The 20,914-nt window shown below is 36.3% G+C and overlaps 1 protein-coding gene across 9 annotated transcripts in view; it reads right to left on the bottom strand.

The window, feature by feature from the left end:
• KLHL8 (kelch like family member 8) overlaps positions 1 to 20,914 on the bottom strand; it is an 80,429-nt gene that overhangs the window by 18,973 nt on the left and 40,542 nt on the right. For 5 of the 9 annotated variants that reach the window (XM_047416012.1, XM_047416013.1, NM_020803.5 and 2 more), the window contains 3 exons: positions 16,249 to 16,615; positions 6,176 to 6,724; positions 4,128 to 4,314 (listed from right to left, as the gene is read on the bottom strand). In XM_047416012.1, coding sequence (XP_047271968.1) covers positions 4,128 to 4,314; positions 6,176 to 6,724; positions 16,249 to 16,464 — 952 coding nt within the window. In that variant the 5' untranslated portion in view covers positions 16,465 to 16,615. The remainder of the gene's footprint in view (positions 1 to 4,127; positions 4,315 to 6,175; positions 6,725 to 16,248; positions 16,616 to 20,914) is intronic. The other 4 variants (XM_047416014.1, NM_001292007.2, NM_001292006.2 and 1 more) reach the window with 3 other exon arrangements.

Consider the following 20,914-nt stretch of genomic DNA (forward strand, 5'->3'; position numbering starts at 1 on the left):
TGCTCACACAGGAAAAGTTCATCCCTTTGTTTTAGATTCCATCTATATCATAACACCTTCCTATATACATTTCTAAGCCACATCTCCACTTGATGTCCCACAGACACCTCAAACCCAACAAGTTCAAAAGGATCTCCCCTTCTTGCCTACCTAAACAACCTCTTCCTTCCCTGTGGTGTCCTATCTGTTCCTCTCTATTCCCAATACCACTGGGAACAGTTCATGCCCTCATCACCTACTACTTAACTACTGCAAAATCCTGTCCTCTCTTAACACTTAGCTGTCTTTTTGCTTTCAGATTGTCAACACAGTAAACTAATGAAAAGGCTCTTTTGATAGCCTTCCATTACCTACACCAGTACTTCTCAAAAACTTTAGTGAATGCCACTGAATTGTACACTTAAAAATGGTTAAAATGGGCAGGTGCAGTGGCTCATGCCTGTAATCCCAGCATTTTGGGAGGCTGAGGCAGGAGAATCATTTGAGGCCAGGAGGTGGAAACCAGCCTGGGCAACAGAACAAGACCCCTATCTCTACAAAAAAAATTTAAAATTAGCCAGCTGTGGTGGGGCATGCCTGTAGTGCCAACTACATGGGAGGCTGAGGCAGGAGGATCACTTGAGCCCATGATTTCAATGCCGCAGTGAGCTATGATTGCACCACTGCACTCCAGCCTGAGTGATGGAGTGAGACCCTGTCTCTAAAAATAAATAAGACAAAAAATGCTTAAAATGGCAAATTTTGTTATATATATTTTACCACAATTAAAAAAAAAAACAGTGTAGTGTAATTCAGAATCAGCTGGAGGGCATAAAACACAGATTGCTGGGCCTGACTTCCAGAGTTTCTGATTCAGTAGGTTTGGGATAAGTCCAAGAATTTGCATTTCTTACAAGTTCCCAAGTGAAGGCTGATGCTGCTGGTCGAGGGGTGACCACTTCCTTCATACTTTGAGCAGCAAAGGCTACCTTACAAGGTAAAACCTTATCACAGCATAAAGGTCTTCCAGGATCTAACCCAATCTCCTCCCCTCTTTCTCTCTCTTAAACTTCATGCTCCTGCAACTATGCATATAGTACACATCTTTGGTGTTCCTATAGCACTTTTGGTAATTAGCATTTATTTAACACACAGTATTAAAATGATCTGTTATGCCAACATCTGTTACCAGAGTCTAAGGTAGGTTAAGACTGTGTATTAAGCAATTATGCATTAACAAGGACTAGCACAGTACCTGCCATGTACTAGGCATTCAATAATTGTAAAATGAACTGAACACCCTTACCCTAACTAGCATTCAGAAGAACATTTATTTATTATTCACAACCAAGGCTAAGGTTTACTTTCTCTACAAAACCTTTTCTGACTCTTCCAAGATAAAAAATAACTACTGTTTTCTTTGTAAGTCCCATTATACCTTATGAAGATATAAAAGTACCTGTTAAGACTTTACTGCATTTATTCAAATGTCTATTTTCCTAGACCAGACAAGTTATTCCAAAATAAGTCCGGCTGTATTCTGTATGTGCCTGCATTTCTTATGTTTAACCCAGAGCCTTTCACATGGTAGGCACTTAATAAAGGTTTGCTGAATGACTGCATAAATGAATGCCTGGTAGCTGCTTGTGCTATCTTTTTCAACTAATTCAATATTTTAAGTCAGATAAATTTAAAGTCGGAAGAGCAGCAAATTATGGTGGCTCACACCCATAATCCCAGCACTTTGGGAGGCTGAAGTGGGTGAATCACTTGAGCCCAGGCATTTGAGACCAGCATGGGCAATATAGTGAGACCCAATCCCTACAAAAAAGAAAAAAATATATCTGGGTATGTGCCTATGATTCCAGCTACTCAGGGGGCTGAGGGAGGAGGACTGCTCGAGCCCATGAGGTTCAAGGCACAGTGAGCTGTGATTGCACCATTGCATTCCAGCCTGGATGACAGAGCAAGATCCTGTCTCAAAAAAATTTTTTTAATAAAAAAAAAAGTTGGAAGAAACTGTGAAGATCATTTAGTCAAATTGTTTATAAGTAAACAGAGGCCTTGATTAAGAAATTTGTTTATAAGCTGGGCTGGGCGCAGTGGCTCATACCTGTAATCCAGCACTTTGGGAGGTTGAGGTGGGTGGATTACTTGAGGTCAGGAGTTCGAGACCAGCCTAGCCAACATGGTGAAACCCTGCCTCTAGTAAAAATACAAAAAAAAAAAGAAAAAAAAAAAATTTGCCCGGCGTGGTGGGGCACACAAGAATGGCTTGAACCTGGGAGGCATGGTGAGCTGAGAAAGCGCCACTGCTCCCCAGCCTGGGTGACAGAGCGAGACTCAGTCTCAAAAAAAAAGAAATCTGTTTATAAGTAAACTGAGACCCTGATTAATAAATTTGCCCAAAATTACAGATGTTCAATGGCACAGCTAGGATTATAATCCCAGAATGCAATGTTAATCTTTGATTAGATTTTCTTTAAGTAGAAACTAGTATTTCATCTATATAGTTCACATAGGAACATCGTATGGAAGGAAAAAAAAAAAAACTAAAATAGAAGTAAAAGACCAGGATGCATACCCTTTCTCTACTATTTCTATGTGTGACCTTCGGCATATTTTTAACTTAATTCTTAGTCTCCTCATCCTTAAAACAGAATAAAACGACCTATTTCAAAATGAGGATCAAATCCTTATCTAAAACCTACTACATAAAGTTCCTTCAGTCATGTAGATCATTTATATGACTGTCTAGTATATTTTGGCATATAACCTAGGCTGCTAAGATGTTATTTGAATTCAATTCTGAGTTTGAAGAATTCCATCAAATACACTGACTTTCTAAATTCACAACAAAAAAGCTATACAACTAAAAAAAATCAATTCTTGGGCCGGGCGCGATGACTCACGCCTGTAATCCCAGCACTTCGGGAGGCCAAGGCAGGCAGATCACGAGGTCAGGAGATTGAGACCATCCTGGCTAACACGGTGAAACCCCGTCTCTACTAAAAATACAAAAAAATTAGCTGGGCATGGTTGTGGGCGCCTGTAGTCCCAGCTACTCAGGAGGCTGAGGCAGAAGAATGGCGTGAACCTGGGAGGTGGAGCTTGCAGTGAGCCAGCCGAGATCGCGCCACTGCACTCCAACCTGGGCGACAGAGACTCCGTCTCAAAAAAAAAAAAAAAAAAAAAAATTACTTACTTACATCAACCTATAAAAAATGAGGATAATTAGTTTCATGTTAAACTAATTATCTAGAAGAACTACTTCTTCATAGGTAGGTGTATGACTTTCAGCATTTCTTTGTATTACCTAGATAAAATCTCATTCTACTCATAATCAGGTATTGCCTTTTGTTGTTGTTTTCAGGCTATCAAAGACCTCATTATTTGATAACTGCATATTTAGATTGCACCATATATAGAGGAAGTCTCTATTTAGAGCTCCTCTTCCTAAATTTCTGAACCTCATGTATTCACTCATGTCTCAAATATGTTACGCTTTATAAATATTTTATTAAAAAGTGATACTTCTTATAGCATAATGTCTCAAAAAAAAAGAAGCGAACATGAACTATTTTCTTGGGAAAAATTATAAAGTCTAAAAATTGTATCAAATAAAGGTGAAACTGCCTGCCTCCTAAAATATAAGGGCTTTAGACTCTAAGAGTTTAATATAACCCATTATACAAATGTTAGCTATGTTTAGTGCCCTTTTTATTTGGTAAAATGAAAAAACAAATATTTAGATGCACAATATATTTCAAGTTCCATGCTTGGCCCTAGGGATAGAAACCTAAATAAGATACTCAGCTGTCTTTGAAGAACTTAAGACATGTCAAATGAGTAAATGACAATGCAACATAGTAAACCAAGTTCAGAATCGGGAAAGATCTCAAAAGAAGAGATATTTCAGTAGGCTCTTCAGAGTATACAGGACTGATTACGGCTTTTTAAAAAACTGGCTTATTGGTAAAACTAAATAATGTACAGTAAAAATTATAAATATATAAAACCGTATTTGCCAATTATTACTTTAAGGCAATCAGACACTAATTATATTACAACTAAGTTTGGGCACACATGAACAACCCTCAAATACAACAAAGATCCTTCCAGGAGAATTGACAAAATAATTTGGTTACCAGCAGTATGCTTCCTTGGGGTAGTCCGAATGGAGTATTCAAAGTCAGGTACTGCTCTGCTACTCAAGTGAAGGTGGTAATTTCTTGCTTCATCCAGTAAATCTCTACATTTTAGATTTTGCTTGACAATCTGTTCTTTTGCCACAACACCCATAAGAAAATCAACCGGCAACAATGGCAGGCGAACCTAAGATCATGAATAGTTGCAATACAACAAATTTTATATTTTCTTGGGAAAATATAAAGTCTAAAAATTGTATCAAATAAAGGTGAAAACAAGATGAGTAATTCTCCACTTCTACTGCAGCATGTTCTCTTTTTAAAACTTAAGTTGTTACTTCATGAAATGTAACATGTTCATGATTTTCAATGTGCCAAATTATAAGCAATTTCCAGTACTGGTCTGCTCAAATGCAATCAGACTACACGTTAAATTATATCCACCCACTTTAAATATCGGTTTAAATAGGCTTTATAATTGAATTGTCTTCATTCAAATTGCTTACTTCCAAAAACGGTACTGACATAATCACAAGGCCCTTCTATTGATAAAGGCACAATCAAAACAAAAGTGCTGTGCTTTGTTCTTTTGCCTTTTTAAGCTAAGATTAAACATAGGGAAATGTGATTTCTTACTTAAAAATGTAAAAATTCATATCTGAAACAAGTGTTGTTTTCTTCAAATTAATGATCTTGGAAGGGAATATACTAACTTAGGGATGCATCCCCTCTTTCAACAGAGGCATTCACCATTCCTCTATTAAAGATACACTGATTTTCCAGTGGATTAAAGGGGATGATGAAACCAGGTAATGCTATTTTGAGTTAAAAGCACACACACACGTAAGGGGTTGAGTCCAGTCTCTCTCCCCAACTGCAAGACTTCGTTGCAGCAGTCCCTGTATCTATTGTTATGGCCCCCCTTGAACGAAATCTGCCTTACCATCTTAAAGAAAAACACATATACACAAATAAGATATAGCTGCAAGATAATGAAACTTTCTATTTGCTTTGCTGACAAACTTACTTTCAAAATAATTCTGAGAAGATGTAAATGTGTTCTGAACTTTGATACTCATATGAATGCATAAATATTGTGATATGCACTTGAAAAAATGTCTTATCATCATACTCTGAATAGGTTTACTTCATCTGCCTATAAATATCTAAAATGAGAACACTGGTAATTATAAGCACTTTCATTCTTCTTCATTCTTCTTACTATTTGTTTAAGTTTCTGATAATGCTATTAGGAAACTTTGTTATTAAAAATCACGAGAATTATCACTGAGTGCTTTTATCAAGCACTAAGTTTTAACAAAGCATTTAATTTAGAAAAAATAAGTAAATAAGAACACTCTTCTTTTAAGTAGCAAAATGTCATTTTACTTCTCAGGAATAAATGAAGAAAGGAAAAAATGGAGGAAGGGAAGGAGGGAAGGGAGAGAAAGGAGAGGAAGACGACAAAAGAAAAAAAGATCACAAGGGCCTATAATCTTCTTATCCTGGTAACTCCTATTGACAGTAAAAAATAAGAACAGTAACAATGAGACACATTTCTGAGGTTTAAAAAAAGTCAAACTACGGTGAGAGAAGAAAATAGAAGTGATGTCCTATGGTTGTTTACATAATAAATCTATCCACATTAGGAATAACTATACTTTTATTAGCAAAATAATTCATTAAAATTTAGAAACCATTATAAAACAATAATTATAAAGTATATTAATTTAGAGCTATTTCTTCAAACCATTTTCTATTGGCATAAATAAAATATTCATCATTAGTATCCCAAAGGAATATTTTAAATATTCAGGTTAAAAGCAGAGAATGATATTGCTAATTCAAATGTGACAAATTTAGATTCATCCTGAAACAGCACAGCAAGTTAACAGGAAAATTAGAGAGCTAAAAGCCATTTCTATTATTTATTACATCAATAATTTCTATATTCCTTGAAATAATCTACACTTTTCCTAATAAATGAAGCATGTTGATTTGCTTCCATATCACTTCATTTCTGTGTGAAATCTTATTTCAGCTCCTACCTGTGCAAGTGTTTCATCCAACCATTTGGAATGATGCTGAGGATTGGCAAGAAGCCACTTGATGGCAGCATTATAGACCTGCTTTTCATTTTCAATATTTAGATCACTGGAGGACAAAAGCTTATGGAGGTGCTGCGGTGATACACTTACAAAGTCTTCACACTCCACTACTTCAGTAAAATGGTCACAGGCATACTGATCCGCCATGTCCATTAAGTCTATTCGATTGTGACTTTCTGCAAAGGCTCTTACTGCCAGGCAATTGGAGGGATGAAAATGTAACTTCATGTATTCACAACAAGCTCTAGCCACCAGTTCAACCTGCAGAATACAGGCTGCATATAAGAGAGGCTGGACATTGTCAACAGTCAAAGTGAGCCGTGAAGAATAGACAAACTTTACCAAGTCTTCTATTGCATCACCATCAAAATCTCTAATCTCAATCAGCGTTTGCTTGGCTTCAGCCATTTCAGAAAGAAACATGGCTCTAAAGTAGGGAATAACACAAGCCAATACCAGCTTGTGACAAGAGATTAGCTTTGAGCCAACCTGTTCAAAAGAAACCAAGAAAGATTCTGTTTAATATCAAAATCAGCTTCAGGTCAGCATTTAACATGTGTTTGTAGCAGGGACAAAATTTCCAGACAAATTTAGAGTATCTTTTTATAAGGCGATCCTTTGATCACTTACTTTCAAGTAGGCCAGTTTCTTAAAGTCAGGTAATTTTCATATTCCAAATTAACCACATATCATATTCATATATATATATACACATACTTTAAAATTAAAAAAAAATTTTTTTTTTTGAGACAAGGCCTTGCTCTGTTGCCCAGGCTGGAGAGCAGCGGCGCAATCTCAGCTCACTGCAACCTCTGCCTCCTGGGTTTAAGCAATTCTCCTGCCTCAGCCTACCAAGTAGTTGGGATTACAGGCGTGCACCACCACGCCTGGCTAATTTTTGTGGGTTTTGTTTTTTCAGTAGAGACAGGGTTTCACCACGTTGGCCAGGTTGGTCTTGAACTCCTGGCCTCAACTGATTCACCTGCCTCAGCCTCCCAAAGTGCTGGGATTACCAGTGTGAGCCACCACACTCGGCCTCTTTTATATATGTATCTGTAACATACACACAACAAACCATGATTTTCTATGTTATATTTCAGGGACATTTTGTGAATTAATACCAGCAAACATCAGTTAGCACTCATTACATGCCAACCACTATTGTAAGTGCTTTTTTTTTTTTTTTTGAAATAGGGTCTCACCCTGTTGCCCAGGCTGGAGTGCAGTGACGTGATCATGGCTCATTGCAGCCTCAACCTGCTGGGCTCGAGCAATCCCCCAACTTAGCCTCCCCAGCAGCTAGGACTACAGGCATGTGCCACCACACCCAGCTAATTTTTGTATTTTTCAGTAGGGACAGGGTTTTGCCATGCTGCCCAGGCTGGTCTCAAACTCCTGGGCTCAAGTGATTCACGCACTTTGGCCTCCCAAAGTGCTAGGATTACAGGCATGAGCCACAGAGCCTGGCCTTCTAAGTGCTTTTCATATACTAACTCAGTTGTCCCAACATCCCTATGAGTAAGTACTATTATTATCCACAATTTATCAATCAGAAAACTGGAGCAGAGAGTAAATATTTAGTAGTATTTACTATGAGCTCAACTGAGGTTTTTTTTTATTTTCTATTTACATTATCTTGAAATGATATAGCTCACATAAAAGCAGTAAAAAAAAAACACTGCAATCTCATCACCTTAATTATTGAAAAATCAGATAGCTTCCAACAGTATGCTATTACAAATAGCACACTAGTGAACTTCTTTGTAACTAAATCGTTATTCACATTCTCTATTATTCCAACAGATAAATTATTGTAAGTAGAGATGCTGCTTCAAAGGATACAATGTGAATATGTGAATACATAATGTCAAACTGTCCATTTCTGAGCTTCTTACAGTATTTGCACCATATCTTGAGTGTTGTTATTGTTGTTGTTGTTGTACAAAGTCTATGCTGCCCAGGTTGATCTCAAACTCCTAAGCTCATGCAATCCTCCCGCCTCGGCCTCCAAAAGTGCTAAGATTATAGGTGTGAGCCATTGTGCCCGGCCATAGTTGCCAATTTGATGAATAAAAAGATCTCATCTTTTTTTTTCTTTTTTGCTCTTAAGATTGAATCATTTATAAATTTTGAGCTATTTGTATTTCTTCTATGAACTACAAATTTTTTATTTATAAGTACTCATCATATAATCAGAGTATTAGGCATTTGTCATATATATTTCAAACTTCTCTTTTAGTTTGCTTTCAAATTTTATTCTCTTATATAAAAACCCTATGGATTTTTATGTAATTAAATGAAGTCTTTTTATTTATTGTTTTAGGTACCTGCTAGAAATGGGAATCATTCTAATATTCTATATTTACTTCACGTATTTTTTATACTACTTTTATGGTTTTATGTTTTACACTTAAATTTTTACTTACATCTGGAAGTTTTTGGTACTGAGTGGGAAGATATCTTCTTTTTAATACAGTATTTATCCCATTTTCCCAGGAGTTTATAATAATCAAATACAAGTAACAGTTATAGTACTATTTTAACAGTTTTCCTGTTTTCATGTAGTGTTTTGATTATATAATAAACAGTTGTATCTCATTATTTGAGAACTAATTTTAAAATGACAACTCCTAGAGTGTTCAAATGTATAAATGGTTTTGCTTATAAAAGCCCCTTCCTCAGTCTTTTTTCACTAATGTGGAGGAAGAAGCAGTATCACTTATTTCAGAAAGTACAAGACAATCATTTCTGTCTGTTATGCTATATTAAATTTTTTCACAGAACTCACAAGGCAGTATTTAGATTCCATTGAGACTAAAGTTGTAATGTAGACTATAACATAAAGCTTGGCATGTTTTCAAATTCACGTCAGCTCTAAAATGGGATCTGAAATCTGATACTAAATAACTTTTAAATAGCCTAAGCATATCCTTTAAAAAATTATTTCCACATGCCACCACTGGGATTCAGTTTCTATGCAAATATTTGTAAGTCTCACATGACTTAAACCTGCTCCATTAAATAACTTGCCAACACTCTCTTACATAATAGTATCATAAAATAGGGTTCTACAATTTCTAGATAACCATTATTTTAACACTTGCCATCCAAGCTGTACAAATCAATGGCCGGCAAGTCATTTTCATGTTGTTTTTAATAAGATTCTGTCCCTTTACAATTCCATTTGAGTCTTGATTCAAACAAACTAAAATGTGGCTATTTAACACATACACCCCTATGTACCCTTTTAGAATAAATATCCATCTTTATTTTATAAAGATCTTTAAGCCACATGTATAAATAGGAACAGCCAAAAATTTGGCTTTTTAATGCACTGATTCTCCTTTGATGTTATATAGTTAATTACATTCCTGAAAGTTTATTTGTACATTTTCTTTCTCTGGTACAAAAAAATAATTACCAATTACCAAAATCATTTCATTAGAAATTTGAAAATGAAAGGAATCAAAGTCTAAAGACCTGATGTTTAAAATTGGATGAAAAACACACAAGCTACATAATATTAGACATTACCGTGTATTTAGAATTATATAAATACTATATGTCCCTGATACTACTTAATTTTCTAATTTACATTCTTTCTTTGTTAGATCAGTGAACGTGTGACTAATTCAAGATAGTATTACGAAAGAAAAACCTTAGACAATTAAATTTAACGGAGTTTAACTGAGCAAAGACGGATTCAAGAATTGGGCAGTCCTGGAACAAGAATAGGTTCAAAGACACTGGTGCTGGTGCATAGTCGAAAATTATTTACGGACAGAAAAAGGAAGGTGACACACAGAAAACGGAAGTGAGGTACAGAAACAGACGGGTCAGTTACAGCTCAGGGTCAGCCTTACTTGAACACAGGTTGAACAACTGGTTGCCTTTAATTGGCTGAACCTCAGTGATTAGCACAAGAGTAGGTTGCAGTCTGTTTACACAACCAGTTAGGTTACAGTTTACTGTGTACAGAGAAACTTTTAGGCCAAGTTTAAAATACATAAGGTGGGAGCTTCAGGCTAAACTTAACAGTACTCAGGGAAAAATCATGTCACACTTCAGTATTAAAATATGTAGAATATCAACATTCATTAAATGATTCCTTAGACTTTTGTTTAAAAAGCTTGAAATACCAACTATTAATAAAAACTTTGAGTAATTTTCCAGAGATTAGCCAATATGAATGGAAATACAATGAAAATAAGGCTTTTGGATTAGTAAAGCACTTGACTATCAACATACAAAGCATTCCTAACTCCACTAGTTAGGACTTCATCATGGCTCGAGTGCCACTTGCTCGAGCCCGCTCCCACTCTGTGGAGTGTACTTTCATTTCAATAAATCTGTGCTTTTGTTGCTATTGAAAAAAAAAAGAGTTAACATTTATTTTGTAAACTATCTCCACTTCACTTAAAAAAGTTTAGTAAAGGCCGGGCGCAGCTCACGCCTGTAATCCCAGCACTTTGGGCGGGATCCACCGAGGAGGGCGGATCAGGAGGTCAGGAGATGGAGACCATCCTGGCTAACATGGTGAAACCCCGTCTATACTGAAAATACAAAAAAAAAAATTAGCCGGGCATGGTGGCACGCGCCTGTAGTCCCAGCTACTTGGGAGGCTGAGGCAGGAGAATCGCTTGAACCTCGGAGGCAGAGGTTGCAGTGAGCTGAGATTGTGCCACTGCACTCCAGCCTGGGCAACAGAGTGAGCCTCCATCTCAAAAAAAAAAAAAAAAAAAAGAATTTTAGAAAAAGTAAAATTTTATCTTAGTATTATTAACCATTATATATACAGGAAAATTTTCCATATCAGTTGAAAAATGCCCTTCTACTCTAATATACTTTAACATTCATCATTAGCAACTTATGCAAGCATCTTCTTTAATATCTTTTACTCTACATGTATATTATTCATTACTATTTCAATGTTGTTTTGACATTTACATTATGACTTTTTGATTACTGTAAATACTATTATAGTGGATATACAGTTGCATAACTTTGTAGGTAATAATAATCTTGATACTTCAAAATAAAAAATAACCTACTGGCCAGGGGCAGTGGCTCATGCCTGTAATCCCAGCACTTTGGGAGGCCAAGGTAGGCGGATCACCTGAGGTCAGGAGTTCAAGACCAGCCTGGCCAACATGGTGAAACCCCATCTCTATAAAAATACAAAAATTAGCTGAGCATGATGGTGGGTGCCTATAATCCCAGCTACTCGGGGGGCTGACGTGGAAGAATCGCTTGAACCCGGGAGGCAGAGGTTGCAGTGAGCCAAGATCGTGCCATTGCACTCCAGCCTGGGTGACAGAGTGAGACTCTGTCTTTAAAAAAAAAAAAAAAAGCTTACTGTTTAGTCTATTCAGGCTGCTATAACAAACTATCACTGGGTGGCTGATAAACAACATAATTTATTTCTCATAGTTCTTGAGACTAGAAAGTTCAAGATCAAGGCACTGGCAAATCCATGTCTGGTAAGGACTTGCTCTAAGTTCACTGATGCCAACTCTTCTTTGTGTCTTCAGATGGTGGAAGGCACAGAGCAGCTATCTGTGGCCTCTTTTTCTTTTTCTTTTTAATGTCTAAATACAATTTTAATGAGGTACAGATACATGCTCAATTTGTGATCATGAGTTATAACAAATCACAGTTTAGTTATAATTACAAAAATAGTGAAATCAGAATGTAAAGGAAAACCTTTATAAATAAGAACATCCTCAACTTTAAAGATGGCTTAGGTTTCTACATATCTCAAGATCTGCTTTGTATTTAAAATGAATAGTGAAGAGTGTATATATAATATACAAATAAAATAACATTGTGCTTCTTAAAAGCTGTATGTAAAGGGAAATATTTTTTAAATTACTAGAGGCCAGGCATGGTGGCTCATGCCTGTAATCCCAGCAGTTTGGGAGGCTGAGGCAGACAGATCGCTTGAGTCCAGGAGTTCAAGACCAGCCTGGGCAACATGGCCAAACCCCCTCTCTACAAAAAGTGCAAAAATTAACTGGGTGTGATGGTGTGCACCTGTAGTCTCAGCTACTCAGGGGGTGGAGTAGGGTTTGGGTCCAGGAGGTGGAGGTTGCCATGACCCATGACTGCATCACTGTACTCCAGCCTGGGTGACAGAGCAAGACCTTGTCTCAAAATAATAAAATAAGCCTATAATCCTTTCCCCTTATAAAGTAAAAAATAATTTACTATTCCTTCATTCTTACAGTTTTATTTTTATTTTAAATTTATATTTTTCTTTTATTGTAAATATATATACATATTTTGCTTTTTTCAACTTTTACTTTAGAATTAGGGGTGCATGTGTAGGTCTGTTGCATAGATATATTGCATCATGCTGAGGTTTGGTGTATAAATGAATCTATAACCCAGGTAGTGAGCATAATACACAACATAAAATAAACAGTTTATTTCAATTCATACCCCCACCGCCTTCCCTCCTTCCCCCATATTGTATCCACCACTATTTTTCCCATTTTCATGACCATGTTTACTCAATATTTAGTTCCCACTTACAAGTGGGAACAAGTGGTATTTGGTTTTCTGCTTCTTTATTAGTTCACTTAGGATAATGGTTTCCAGCTGCGTGTATGTTGCTGCAAATAACATGATTTCATTCTTTTCTATGGTTGTGTAGTATTCCACAGTGTATATATAACACATTTTCCATATCCAATCCACCACTGATGGGCACCTGGGCTGATTCCATATCTTTGCTATTTGTGAATAGCACTGCAATGAACATGCGGGTATATGTGTCTTTTTGATAGAATGATTTATTTTCCTCTGGGTATATACCCACTAGGAGGATTGCTGGGTTGAATGGTAGTTCAAGTCTCAGTTCTTTGAGAAGTATCCAAACTGCTCTCCACAGTGGCTGAACTAATCTACATTCCCACCAACAGTGTATAAGTGTTCCCTTCTCTCCACAGCCTTGCCAACATCTGTTATTTTTTGACTTTTTAACAAAAGCCATTCTGACTGATGTGAGATGGTATCTCTTTGTGGTTCTGGTTTGCATTCTTCTAATGACTGGTGATGATGAGTTATTTTTTCATGTATTTGTTGGCCACTTGTGGGTCTTCTTTTGAGAAGTATATGTTCATGTCCTTTGCCTACTTTTTACTGTACCTTTTCTGTTTAGATATGTTTAGATAAATACCATTGTGTTACAACTGCATACAGTTTTCAGTATGGTAATAGGCTACGCAGGCTTATATCCCAGCAACAACAAGCTATACCATATAGCCTATGTACGTAGCTTATACTACACACGTAGGCTGTAGTAAGCAGTTCTAATACAGTCATGTGTCATTGAAGGATGGGGATACATTCTGAGAAATGTGTCAGGTGATTTTATCATTGTGCAAATATCACAGAATGTACTTACACAAATCTAGATGGTATAGCCTATTACATACCTGGGCTATATGGTACAGCCTGTTGCTCTCAGACTACAAACCTGCATGGCTTATTACTGTACTGCACACTGTAGGCAACTGAAACAGAATGGTAACTATCTGCATATCTAAACATATAAACATAGGAAAGGTACAGTAAAAATACAGTATAAGGTATTTTTTTTAAAGTACACCCGTATAAGGTATTTGCTATGAATGGAGCTGCAGGGCCTGAAGTGGCTCGGGGTGAATTACTGAGTGGTGAGTGAATGGGAAAGCCTAGGACTTTATTGTACACTACTGTAGACTTTATAAACACTGTACACTTATGCTACACTAAATTAAAAAAAATATTTTTCTTTCTTTCATAATTAACCTTAGCTTACTGTGACTTTTTCCATAAACTTCAATTTTTTAAAACTTTTTGACTCTTGTAATAACACTTAGCCTAAAACACACACATTGCACAGCTCTACAAAAATGTTTTTATATGCTTATTCCAAAAACTTTTTTCTACTTAAAATTTTTTTCTTTTACTTTTTAAACTTTTTTGTTAAAAACTAAGACACAAACTCAGACAGTAGCCTGCATCTATATCAAGTCAGGATCATCCATATCACTGTCTTCCGCCTCCAGATCCTGTCCTACTGGAAAGGAGAGGACACATGGAGCTGTCATCTCCTATAGTAACAATGCCTTCCTCTTGAATACCTTCTGAAGGACCTGCCTAAGGCTGTTTTTACAGTTAACGTTTTTTCTTTTCTTGTTTTTATTAAGAATCAACTTTCTGCAATTTTTTTCTTTTTTTATGTAATGTTTCTTCTTTAGAAGTAGCAAGAGTACACTCTACAAAAACAATAAGAAGTAGAGTAAATACATAAGCCTGTAACATAATCATTTATTAGCATGAATAGGTATTAGGCACTATATATAACCATGTGTTATACCTTTTATACAACTGGCAATGAGGTAAGTTTGTTTACACCAGCATCACCACAAGCATGTGAGTAAAGCACTGTGCTAGGACATTATGATAGCTACAACATTACTAAGTGATAGGAATTTTTCAGCTCCATTCTAATCTTATGGGACCACCACTGTATATGGGGTCCATCGTTGACCAAAATGTCCTTATGTGGCACATGATTATACCCCTTTCTGAGAAACATGAAAAAGATTAAAATACTGATTTACTAGCGGAATGGATGAAGTAAAGGTGATCTTCCTTAAACACAGAATCTTAAAATTTCTTAATATAGAATGCTTAAGTGTTAACTATAGGATCACTTTCGCCATTATTATTTTTCTCTTCTATTAAATTACATCTGTGCTATCTTCTAAATGTCCTCCAAAATCATGTGTTGAAACTTAATCCCCACTGTGCTAATATTAAGAGGGGGAACCTTTGGGAAATGATGAAATCATAAGGGCTCTGTGCTCATGAATGGATTAGTGCCTTAAGAGAGGACTGGAGGGAACTAGCTTAGGCCCATTTTGTCCTTCTGCCTTCCATGTGAGGACACAGTGTTCATCCCCTCTGGAGGATGCTGTAACAAGCAAAATCTGAGAAACAGAGAGGGCAGCCCTCACCAGACACCAAACTTGCTGGTACCTTGATTTTAGACTTCCCAACCTTCAGAACTATGAGAAATAATTATCTATCATTAGCACAGTGGCTCACAGTTATAATCCCAGCTTTTTGGGAGGCCCAAGGCAGTAGGATCATTTGAGCCCGAGTTTGAGACCAGCCTGGGCAACATAGCAAGACCCCATCTCTACAAAAAAAATGTTTTAAATTAGTCAGGCACGGTGGTGCATGCATCTAGTCCCAGCTGCTCAGGCGGCTGTGGCAGGAGGACTGCTTAAGCCCAAGAGTTCACCAAAAAATTTTAATATTTCACTGAGAGATAAGAAGAAAGTACTTTAAATGTGTAATGAGAAACAATCAACAAAGGCTTTTCCATACTGCTTTATCACTTTTCCAATTTTATTAAAACTGGTTGCTTTTAGGAGAACAACATGATCCTACAGATGATGAGCAAAGTTCACTGAGGACTTTTTCATCCAAGGCTAAGTAGATTATATTTCACTATCAGGTGTAGATAAACAATCCCACTTAACAGATGGTAACAATGAAGTAGAGATTAAATTACTGGAATAGAGATATACAGTAAAACACTAGTATAGCTGAGTAAACAATCCAAAATTCCTGACTTCTAACTTACTTCTGTATTCAGAGTAAGCAAATACATCAAGATATTTAAATTCACAAGTGAAAAGCTTATCTGGTCAACAGCAATTTATTAATTTCACTAATAATATTTGTTGTTCTAGGGTTTCAGAACTCTCAGAAGTTAACTAAGAGATAATGAATATCAACATTAAATTAGTACAATAATTTTATCTTATGCTAACTTCTCTTCATTTACCCTCTATGTCCTTTCTCCTACACTAAAAAAAAAGATTGAGACTAAAAGCATTCTGACTGTATCAAATATGTATAGCAACAAAATTTGCCTTGTATGGTTACAGAAACCCCCATTTCTCATATTACACTGAAGAGGCCTGAGAAAAGTACAAAAAAGGCAATCTCACCTTGAGTGTGACATCACAGAGTTCTCCATTTTCATAAAATCGAAGAAGAGAACCATGAAAATCTTTCCAAGCTTCATTTGCTTCAAAAATAAAGGAATCTTCTCCATCACCATCACTAATTGAGGATCTGTTCTTTATTTGCTGGTGCTGTTGTTGCCTTTTCCCCTTTGTAATGTGATTCCTAGCTTGTTTACTACTCATAGAATCTGAAGCCATTTGCAATATTCCTCTTTTAATAGAGCTCTCTTCTCAAACATGCCATTTATTTTTTTTCAAAGGGTAGAGAGAAGGCAGAAGGTAGATGTAGACACTACAATTCAGACGTTTTTCAAAACCCACTCAACTGCCATTGTACAGTTTGCTGTGACTGAAAAATCAACAATAAAACAGGTAGAGACAAACGAAAAGAAAAAAATTATTGTTAACTATAATTTGTTAATACTATATATGCAAAATAACTATATCAATCATATTTATAAAAGAACAAAAACTTTGTTTTTATGCTAAATAACACATAATTCACTTTTGCTAATTATTTTATATCAATAAAGGAACTCCTTTAAAATCCAACAAGAACAACTGACTTGAGCACATGACTTTTGAGATGTGTAATATGCTATCTTCAAAGAGAAAGGCCATGAACTAAAATTTTTCTATTTTTTAATTTTTATTTTAGAGATGGGGTTTCTCCATGTTCCCCATGCTGGTCTCAAACTCCTGGGCTCATGCAATCTACCCACCTAGGCCTCTCAAAGTGCTGGGATTACATGCTTGAACCATCATACGTGGCCATGAACTAAAAATCTTAAGTTTTGAGGCTTAACTGGGAGTTTTTTTTTTTTTAGCAGAACAACATGATCCTATAGATGATAGGTAAAGTTCACTAAAGATTTTTTCATCCAAGCCTAAGTAGACCGTATTTTACTATCAAGTGCAGATAAACAATCCCACTTAACAGATGATAACAATTAAGTAGAGATGAAATTACTGGAATAGAGATATACAGTAAAACACTAGTATAGCTGCCTTCCAGCTATACAATTTAGTAATGCAATGCCAAAACAGAAGGATATTTTGATTGAATTAGGTTCATCCTAGATTCTGAAGTCAGACTATGGTTCTACCACATACCAACTGTATGAGCTTGAGCAAATGACAACCTGCTTAGACCTCGATCTCTTCTGTAAAATAGAGATACCACTTAAGGAAATATTTTGAGGATTAAAAATATTTTACTGCCAAACATACGAAATGCTGCACTCTTAAAAAGATCTCATTTTATTTGCATTTTCACATAGAACTTATTAGTATTTACATATAAAATCAAACTTTCCTCATCATCAAAGCATATTTGATGAATATCCACACCATCCATAATTCTATGCTACAATTCTACTTTGGTGACAGAAACAGAGATTTTAAGTTACTAATGAAACACCTATTCCATCACTTACTGGCTGTGTAATTTTTTTTGAGGCTGTGTAATTTGTAAAACTGAGGCTTTACTAATCCTCAGTTTCTTCATCTATAAACAGGGATACCTATCTACCTCATGGCACTATCCTGAGAAATACATCAAATACAATAATGAATTTACAAGTGCTTGTTTAAAATATTGGTATTATTAGAGTGGAAAGCTCTGCTTATTATGTAGTTTCAGAAAACTCTAAATATTCTAACCAGAACTTTAGCTACATTAGGTTCTTTATTGTTAATCTCATCATTTCCAGCTTTTGACAGAAATCAATGGTTAATGTAAGGTTATAGATTACAGTTATTAATGCCTTCTTATGGTTTCTGTGGCAGACATACATGACAGTGATCCTTAATGAGTCATGTCTTCATATAATCCCCTTGCATGCAGGAAGAACCTGTGACTTGCTTCTAATTGACGGAATGTGGGAAAGTGATGAGATGCCACTCTCTTGATTATGTTACATTATAGAATACAGTATGAGCAGACTGGAGTAAGAAGCTTTCCTGCAGGCCTTGAAAAGCAAACCACCATGGAGACAGTCATGTAGCAGGGAAACTATAGGCAATCCCTAGGACCTGAGAGAGGCTTTCACCTGACAGTCAATAAAAAGCCAGGCCCTCAGTCATACAGCTCCAAGGAAATGAATTCTGCCAATGACCTGAATAAGTGTGGAAGCAGATTTCTTCATAATTGAGCCTCTACATAATACAGCCTGGCCAATAGCTTTATTGCAGCCTTATGAGATCCTAAGCAAAGGACTCAACTACACTGTGCCCAAACTCCTGATGCACGGAAACTGTGAGATAATAAATGCATGTTATTTTAAGCCACTAAATTGTGGTAATTTGTTACACACAATAAAAAATGAATATAGACACCTTCTGTCAGGTCTAAAATTTTATCTGAGGAAAGCATCTATAGATATTCTAACAGGCACCAGCCACTGTAATATCTCTCTTAAATTCACATTCCTGCTGCAAAATCAACAAAAAACAGATGGGACAAATAGAAAACAAATAGCATAATCAGGGCTTAAAAACTTTTTCTGTAAAGGGCCACAGAGTAGATATTTTTGGCTTTGTGGGCCATATGGGTCTCTATCACAACTACTGAACTCTGTCATTGTAACACAAAAGCAGTCACAGACAATAGTAAATAAATAAATAAATAAATAAATAAATAAAGCCATGTTCCAATACAACTTTAATTATTAAAAAAAAAAAAAAACCACTTAGTGGCCCGGTGCAGTGGCTCATGCCTATAATCCCAGCACTTTGGGAGACCAAGGTGGGTGGCTCACCTGAGGTCAGGAGTTCGAGACCAGCCTGGCCAACATGGCAAAACCCCGTCTCTACTAAAAAATACAAAAACCAGCCAGGCATGGTGGCATGCACCTGTAACTCCAGCTGCTTGGGAGGCTGAGGCACAAGAATCACTTGAACCCGGGAGGCGGAGGTTGCAGTGAGCTGAGATCACACCACTGCACTCCAGCCTGGACAACAGAATGAGACTGTGTCTAATAAAATAAAATAAGAAAAAACACTTGGTGAGTGTGATTTAATCCCCAAGCTCATAGTTTGCTGATCCCTGAGTAAGATGGTTGATTTAAACTCAACAATATCAATAATCACATTAAATATAAATAGACTAACCACTTCCAATTAAAGGCAGAGACTCAGGAATGCTATTCAGCAAAAGGGACAAGCTATTGAAACATGTAACAACCGGATGAATCTCAAAGTATGCTCAATAAAAAAAGCCATGCAGTATGATTCTATCTATATAACATTCTCAAAATGACAAAATTATAGAGGTGGAGAACAGATTATTGTTTGCCAGAGGTTAGGGAAGGATGAGAGGAGAGGAGAGGAGTAGCTGTGGCTATAAATGAGTAGCACAAGAGATACTTGTGATGGAACTGTACTGTATCTTGTCTGCAGTAGTGATCATATGAATCTCTATGTGATAACATACACATACACACAAATGAATGCATGTAAAACAGGTGAAATTTGAATATTTGCACACCCATGTTCACTGTGGCATTATTTACAACAACCAAGAGGTAGAAGCAGCCTAAATGTCCTTAGACAATGTATCAAAGTCAATTTCCTAGTACAAAAGTTATGCAAGTTGTTATCATTGAGGGAAACTGGGTGAAGGAAACATAAGATCTATTACTTCTTACCACTGCAAGTGAATCTACAATGGTCTCAAGTAAAGACTTTTTTAAAAAGAGAGATTTTCAGATTGGATAAGAAAAAGCAAAACCCAACTATCAAATGCGTACAAGAAAAAAACCTACTTTAAGTATAAAGACACAAATAGGTTAAAGGAATTGGATAGAAAGAAGACACACCACGCCAACAGTAACAAGAACAACAAAAAAACCCTAAAGAATTTTTAAAAACTGAAGAGTAGCTATAATATCAAACACATAAAATTGTTAGTGATAAAAAACACTATATAAAAATATTCCATGCAAAAGAAAGAAGTTGGACCCTCACCTTACACCATATACAAAAACTAACTCAAAATGAATTAAAGACCTAAATGTAGCCCTGAAACCATAAAATGACTAGACTTGAAACCATAAAGCTACTGGAGGAAAACACGTGGGGAAAAGGATTCACAACATTGAATTTATCAATGATTTCTTGTATATGATGTAAAAAGCACAAGCAACACAAGTAAACACAGACAAATGGGACATCAAACTTTAAAACTTCTATGCAGCAAAACAATCAATAGAGAAGAAAAGGCAACCTACAGAATGGAAGAAAATAGTATTTGCAAATATATACCTGAAAAGGGGTTAATATCCAGATATACAAAGAACTCCTACAACTCAATTAAAAAAAAAACAAAAAAAAAAAATGAAGAACCCAATTTTAAAATGGGCAAAAGGTTGGGTGCAATGGCTGGTGAATGACTGTAGTCCCAGCTACTTGGGAGGCTAAGGTAGGAGGATCACTTGAGCCCAGGAGTTCAAGGTCAGCCTGGGCAATACAGCAAGCACCTGTCTCAAAACAAAACAAAACAAACAAACAAAAACCAAAAACATGCCAGGTGTGGTGGCTCACTCCTATAATCTCAACACTGGTAGGCTGATACTCGAGGATTGTTTGAGCCCCAGGAGTTCGAGATCAGCCTGGGCAACACAGACCTTGTCTCTACAAAAAATACAAA

Source organism: Homo sapiens, chromosome 4, assembly GCF_000001405.40.
Source record: "Homo sapiens chromosome 4, GRCh38.p14 Primary Assembly".
NCBI lineage: Eukaryota > Metazoa > Chordata > Mammalia > Primates > Hominidae > Homo > Homo sapiens.